Source organism: Homo sapiens, chromosome 15 (assembly GCF_000001405.40).
Source record: "Homo sapiens chromosome 15, GRCh38.p14 Primary Assembly".
In the NCBI taxonomy this organism is placed as follows: Eukaryota; Metazoa; Chordata; class Mammalia; order Primates; family Hominidae; genus Homo; species Homo sapiens.
Window position 1 is genome coordinate 23,380,174 of NC_000015.10, and position 7,409 is coordinate 23,387,582.

The following is a 7,409-nucleotide window of genomic DNA, read 5'->3' on the forward strand; positions in this document are numbered from 1 at the left end:
ATGGTGGCTCACGCCTGTTATTCCACCACCTTGGGTCAGGAGTTCGAGACCAGCCTGGCCAACATGGCGAAACCCTGTCTCTACTAAAAATACAAAAATTAGCTGGGAATGGTGGTGCTCCCAGCTACTTGGGAGGCTGAGGCAGGAGACTCGCTTGAGCCCGGGAGGCTGGGGTTGCAGTAAGCCCAGATGGCGCCACTGCACTCCAGCCTGGGTGACAGAGCAAGACTCCAAGACTCCGTCTCAAGAAATAAACAAAGAAAGAGAGAGGAGGGAGGGAGGGAGGGAAAGCCAAGTAACCACTCTCCTTCAGGGCTTCTAGTTTATGTATACACTATGTACTCAGCAAATATTTTTCTCTTAAGTGTGGTTGTTTCGATCCTATTTTCAGGAGGTGAATGTACAGCGTAAGTCCCCTCCTTTTCTGTTGATATGACTGTGTTGATTGGTAGTGCCAGCCACTTTCCATCTGAGCAGTTCTAGGTACATACTCGGTTGGTACGCAAAGGAAAACTATTCTGCATGCCATTAATGCTGGAATAAAATGTGTTTAGGAAGTGTGGCTGTTTTCCCAGGTCATGTTTAATTGAAGGATTTCTGTCACATACTTGTTCTTGTTGATGTGTTCCTGGGGCCTGGAGAAATGCTGCCCACCCCGTCACTTCTCTGGAGAATCTCAGGGCTGCATGGATGGTATGATGCTGCCCGGGCTGACCATTCTGAAAATACTGCTGGCTGGTCCCTAGCAGCAGGTCAGCACCTTGGTTACACGGTGTTTACAGAGGCATGCCCAAAGGAGATACATTGACTATTCCTGGTTATTTTTTGTCCTGTAAATAGAGACATTGTTCAAAGTCTTTTTTCCCCTAACATTTAAAACAACACGTTAGGCCTTTTAAGTGTTTGCCAAAGAACCTGGAGTTTTACTGGAGTCTTGACTAACCTGCTGAACTTTTCAAGCTGAAACCCTGAGGGTTACAGTATAAAAATTTAGAACCTACTTAGAGCAGCAGTCTCCTCATGCTGTTACTGGTCTCCTTAAAGTCAGAAACAAGATCTACAGCTGCTGCTGTCGGTCACCTGAGAGACCAGGCTGAGGCAGCCCAGCGACCTCCCAAGGAGCCTTTTAATTACTAGGTTCAAGTGTGGTTTGCAGTGAACGTGGCGAAGGAGGTGTGGGCTGCTGTGCAGTGAGGCAGAGGCAGAGCACTCAGTGCGCATTTGTGCCCTGCCTGTTCCTCCTGGCAACTCCAGGATGTCATCAGCCTTGCAGGGAGGGGGCTCACCTTCTTAGTGTGGGAAACTGGCCCCAGGGCATACCCCCTTGAGCGTTTCGTAGTTAGAAACTTGTGTGCAGCTTCCCAAGGGACCTTCCTGTGTACAGATGTCCACTCTGTGGAAAAGGATACAATGGGAAGCTTCCAGTGTCCTGTGCAGCTTCTTAGATTCCATTTGGGATTCACCTGGAAAAAGCAATGCCTTACCCCTTGAAGTTTCTCCATTTAAACTCCAGTTAGGTAAAGGGGAGAAAAGTAGAAATATTCACCTTTTGTGTTCCCCATCTTTTAATTTTTTGTTGTTTCGGTTAATAAAAATAACATATTCAGCATGAGAATTTGGAAAATGCAGAAAAGTAGAAGACAATTAAGCCCCCAGCCCCCCACTCGATGCTGTGGTAACAAGCATTCTTGCTCTGCGGCCAACCTCATACCCTGTATGCAGCTTGTATCCTGCCTTTTCCCCTTTTAGAAACTCTTGGCCAAATAATCTTAACCATAAGCATAGTATTTCATATTAAAATTTTGTTGGTTTTCTTTTAAAACATTGTTTTTAATATCTTTTGCCAGGTCAGCTTCAATAAGATATAATTGTACCCAATGAAGGTCATCACTTTCAGGTATGCAATTTGATAAGTTTTGACATCTGTGTACAGTCATATAACCACCACTATGATCAAGATATAGAACTCCATCACTCCAGAAATTTCCCTCATGCCCCTTTGGAGTTGATCCTTCCCCCAACCCCCACACAGATCCCAGCAGCCATTGGTCTTCTTTCTGTCCCTGCGATTTTGTCTTTTCCAGAATGTCATATACCTGGAATCATGTGATAGTTAGCCTTTTGAGCCTTCCATTTAACTTCTTTCATTTAGCATGATGCATTTGCGATTTGTGGTGGTGCGTGTATCCTCAGTTCACTCCGTTTTACTGCTAAGTGGTATTCCACTGTATGCAGGTATCACTATTTATCCATCACCCAGGGGAAGGACATTTAGGTTGTTGCCAGTTTTTGGCAATCAAGAATCAAGCTGCTATAAATATTTGTTTACAGGTTTTTGTATGAATTAAGTTTTCATTTTCTTTGGGTAAATATCCAGGAGTGGGATTGCTGGGTTATATGGTAACTGTATATTTAACTTCATAAGAAATTGATACACTCTTTTCCAAAGTGGCATCACCATTTTGGATTCCCCCCAGCAGTATACAAGGCTTCAGCTCACTCTGCACCTTCACCAATACTTGATATTGATACACACCCCTTTTGCTTGTTTGTTCAGCAGTTCTAATGGGTATGTAGTGGTATCTCATTGTGGCTTTGGTTTTTATTTCCCTAATGACTAATAAGCATCTTTTCCTGTGATTTTTTGCCATCCGGATTTCTTATTTGGCGAAATATCTTTTCATTTTTTCCCTTTTGTCCAGGGTTGTTTATTTTCTGACTGCATTTTGAGAGTTCTTTATAGATTCTGGATACAAGTCCTTTTAAGCATTTTACAAATATATTCTTCTAGATTGGTTTTTCTTTTCATTTTGTTGTTGGTGGTGGTGGTGGTTTGTTGTTGTTGTTGTTGTTTTTGAGACAGAGTCTTGCTCTGTCGCCCAGGCTGGAGTGTAGTGGCACGATCTCGGCTCACTGCAACCTCCGCCTCCCGGGTTCAAGCGATTCTCCTGCCTCAGCCTCCTGAGTAGCTGGGATTACAGGCGCCTGCCACCATGCCCAGCTTATTTTTGTACTTTTTTAGTAGAGATGGGGTTTCACCATGTTGGCCAGGCTGGTCTCGAACACCTGACCTCGTGATCCACTGGCCTCAGCCTCCCAAAGTGCTGGGATTACAGGCGTGAGCCACTGCAGCCAGCCTCTTTTCATTATTTTAACAGTGTCTTTTGAAGAGTGGAAGTTTTAAATTTTGATGAAGTCCAGTTTATCAGATTTTTCCCCTTGGATTTTACCTTTGGTGTCATATCTAAAAAATCTTTGCGTAACTCTAAGTTGCAAATATTTTCTTCTATGTTTTCTTCCAGAAGTTTTACAGTTTTAGGTTTTACAATTAAAATGTACAGTTCAAGTTAATCTTTGTATATAATGCAAGCTATGGATTAAGGTCCACTGTAGCAAGCGGCAGATGTTCTTAAGTATCTCCCTCCCTCCCTCCCTCTCTTCTTTCCTTCCCTCCCTCCTTCCTTCCCTCCCTCCCTCTTTTTTTTTTTTGAGACAGTTTCACTCTGTCACCCACCCAGGCTGGAATGCAGTAGCACTATCACAGCTCACTGCAGCCTTGATATCCTGGGCTCAAGTGATCCTCCCGCCTCAGCCTCCTAGGTAGCTGGGACCACAGGTGTGTGCCACCACACCTGACAAATTTTTAAATTTTTTGTAGAGGCAGGGTCTCCCTGTGTTGCCCAGGCTGGTCTCAAACTCCTGGGCTCAAGCCTTCCCTTATCAGCCTCCTAAAGTACTGGATTACAGGCATGAGCCACCACACACAGCCAAGTGTCTGTTTAAAAAGAAAAGTTGTTCCTAAATGATTCCTTACACTCCAGTAAAACAGGGCTGTGAAAATGAGTTATGTGGAAAGCTGACCGTAGCTGCTGCTTTTTAAAAACCATACCTTCTTATCCGCCCGTTTTGAGACTGGCCCTTTGTTGATCTACAGCTCTCCTTTTCTGGAAGATGCTGGAAAGAACACTGTTAGTGGCCTTCATTTCCCCTCTGGTCTGGGTCTCCTGTAGATGGCTTCTACGATTCTGGCCCCTCTGTACACATCATTCTCGCTCAGCAGCTGCACAGGTAGACAGTGAAAACTAGCATCTTTTTGATTATAGACTGTTGGCTTCCTGGGGAACAGCCATGTTCCATGTTGGGTCAGCTTATTGATAAGGGGAAGAGACCTAGCATTCATTAAAAACTTACCCAGCAACTTTGCTGTGTCACAGAAGTCCTATATAGCATAAAATAGTACTAGGTCCATCTTAGATGAAGCAGTGAGATCTGTTCAAGGTCATCCAGCTAGTAAAATGGTTCAACTTGACTTGCCTTACTCCAGAACTTTTTGCTTATGCCATTATTTCCTGTTAGCTCTTCATGGAACCACTTCCTGTGTGTCTGATGGCTCACTGTGCACTCACACACACACACCAACTAATGGCAGGTGCAGATTGGCAGGTGCAGATGACAAGTATTGCAGTGCAGTTGCTTTTAGCAATTTATCTTCCTTTTTCTTCTGAGCTGGATTTAATTTACTTTAGTTTCCCACATTTGGCATTGTAGCTTTTACCTTTAGAATGGCTAATTGGCTACTGCAATATTTCTTTCATATGTGAATTATAAAAGTGGCCTTAATGGATGTTTCTTTTCATCCAGTTAGGTGTTTATTGTATCAGTGTGTGACTGGGAAGGCCAGGCTAGCTGCAGGTTATCACAGGCCTCTTGCAGTACTTCACTGGACCCCTTGAGTCCTTTTCAGTGGATCATCTCCTGCCCATCTTCACTACTCCGGAGTGGTCTCACCATCTTTACTGGGAGTCCCAGAACGTGTCTGTTCAGAGCGATGAGACCCAGGGCAGAAAGATTCCGGTTACCCTTTCCCGGTCTCCTCATCCTAACTCCTTGGATCTTATCACAGTAAATGATCAGAAGTGGAAATTCTCATGTTAGCTGAAATTCTCTTCATGTTTTTTTCTTGTGTTTAGACCTCGTTATCTTTAGGCATCCCTGTTACTGATGATAACCACTCTGATTCCCTAGTTTGTAAGACACTGCACCCCCTCCATATTTAAAAGTTATTTGCCATTGGAGGTATCATCAAAGACTACTCTCCCTTTCTAAAATCTTGGTGTTAGCAGCTAGAAGAGAGACTGCCAGTCTTCCCCGCCAGCCCTACTTTATGACTTAATGCATGGCACCACTTGTGCAGCTGATGCCTGGTCGGGCCACACTTTCCATTATGAACATGCTCTTTCCTGACTTCCCTCACATTCATTGAAGTCCAGTCCCGGCTCAGTTGCTGGCCGCGGCTGCTTCTATTGTAGAAAGTGGAATGAATAAAAATGAAGGGCTTCTGACACTGGGGTGAAACTTTGTCACTGAAGAGATCTTTTCAATCCAAGAAGAGGAACCCAGCCAGCTTCGCCAAAGCTGGAAAAAGCTGCAACCTTCTTTTGCCCCTGTTGAGATATTGGAACCCCCACTGGTTGGCTTCCCTCTGCCCTACAGCTGCCCACCTGAGATTTCTCACCTGGGCAGAGCCACAGCACAGCACAGAGAAACTCAGTTTCCGGGGACTTTGGCAGGGATCTTGGTGCTGTGGGAGGATTCAAACCCCATCTCAGCCACTTGCTAGCTCTGTGCATCTGGTCATATTACCCCACTTCTCGCAATCTGTTCTTGCATCTGTAAAATGGGGTAGTGTTACCACCTCGGTGGGCTTTTAATGAAGATTATATGAGTTAAATGCCCACTGTATTGCCAGCAAAGAATCCAGCATGGTGCTCAGTGAGGAATACCGTGCATGGCTACAGTTTAACTCCTGTGAAATAAATAGATGCTGGAGGCAGGGAGGTGCTTCCTCCGCCCCCCCGTGATGTTTCTGTGGTTTCACCTTCCCATGCTGGGCACTGCCCTCCCTAGACAAGACCTGTCTGTGGACTGTTTCCAGTACAGCTGTTTAGCCAGACGCTGGCCCCGTCTGCAGCCATCACAGGCCCTCTGTCTCTCTGCTGGTCATGTCATGCTCTCCTCAAGGTGCCGTCCTGCTGTTCATATTGTTTCATTCTTTCCCACCAGGAAGCATCTGGACGAACAGTCCTGCCACGCTCTTTGAAGTTCCCGACACATGGTAACCAAGACCTGAGGGCAGCAAACCGCTGGTGCTGTCTCTGTGAGCAAGAGCCGGGTGGCACATTTGGAAGCCATACTGTATTTAACTTAATCAAATGTGGTATGGGAGGGGTTGGAAACCAAGTTGTCTCCTGGGGGGAAGAAAAGACAGGTTTTATTTTTGTGGCTGTGTTTTTTTCCCTTTTTAATCTAACTGCCTGTTGATGTTGACACTCATCAGGGTTGTAGGCTGTCATGAATGTGTACGTGCTTAACCAGTGAATTCCATGTTGCTCGTGTGAGGCCTTTCCTGTCATGACCCACTGTGCTTAAGAACCTGCCTGATGGGGAGTGTCGGCTGTGAAATCTGCAAAAAGAGCTGACGTTCCGGCTGCCGTGATCATGAATTGGGGGTGTACTCTCCTGCCTGTGCATCTTCTCGCGCTGAGATTTTGAGGCGGTTGCAGCCCTCGGTTAGTCTCCCAGTGGAGAGAAATCAGTTGTGCCTCCCTGCTTCCCACCATAGCTGCCTGAAAACATGACGCTCTTACGCTTGTCCTTCCATCAGGAAGGTGTCCACTCACGCCCACCCATGAGGGGGCTTGCCGTATGCCCTGGCCTTTGGGCATATTTATGTAGAGTTCCTTTCTCCTAAGACGTGAGTTTCTGATGGGGGATGTACGAGTAAAAAGGTTAACTTCTGTTCTTATGCGTGGCGCTGTGTTCACTTTCCAGAGTCTGTTTGGATGGCGGTCTCGGGGTACGGCAGCGTGTGTGTGTATGTGTGTTTGTGTGTGTGTGTGTGTGTGTGAAATCGTGCAAATCTACATGTCCCAGCCCATTCTCTGTTGAAACAGATCACAGCAACGACAAACACTCATGGCGCCGCTTCACTCCACCCGCTTCAGATAGATCATTGTTAGATATTTCACATTTTTGTATGGTGGAAATAAAAATGAAAAATGTATTTCCAAAAGATGAAAATTAAAGACATTTTCATAGGACTCTGGTTTTCTCCTCTCTTTTTTTAAATAAGTGAATGATGTTTTCACTCTCTAGTAATACACAGATAAATTTCACACTCTTAAAAAATCTGCTAAGCCACTAAGGCTGATGTTCATGGATTTTTTTCTTTTTCTTTTTACCCCTAACTGCTGTACCTGCCACGATGGGTCAGCTCCTCAGTGCAGAGCTGAGCCCTGGTGTTAAGTGGCCTTGTAGGAGGGTGGGAGGAATGAGGACCCTTAGCACTCACGCTGGAATCCCAGGACGTTATGCAGATTCCGATTTGTAAGACAATTTCCCCAATCAAG

General features: G+C 45.4%; 1 long non-coding RNA gene across 1 annotated transcript; it reads left to right on the forward strand.

Annotated features, from left to right (window-relative positions):
• The first annotated feature begins 854 nt into the window (after positions 1-854).
• On the forward strand, positions 855-7,100 carry LOC124903446 (uncharacterized). The gene is made up of 2 exons (XR_007064532.1): positions 855-1,897; positions 6,064-7,100. It is a non-coding gene; the product is annotated as an uncharacterized LOC124903446 (long non-coding RNA).
• The last annotated feature ends 309 nt before the right edge of the window (positions 7,101-7,409 follow it).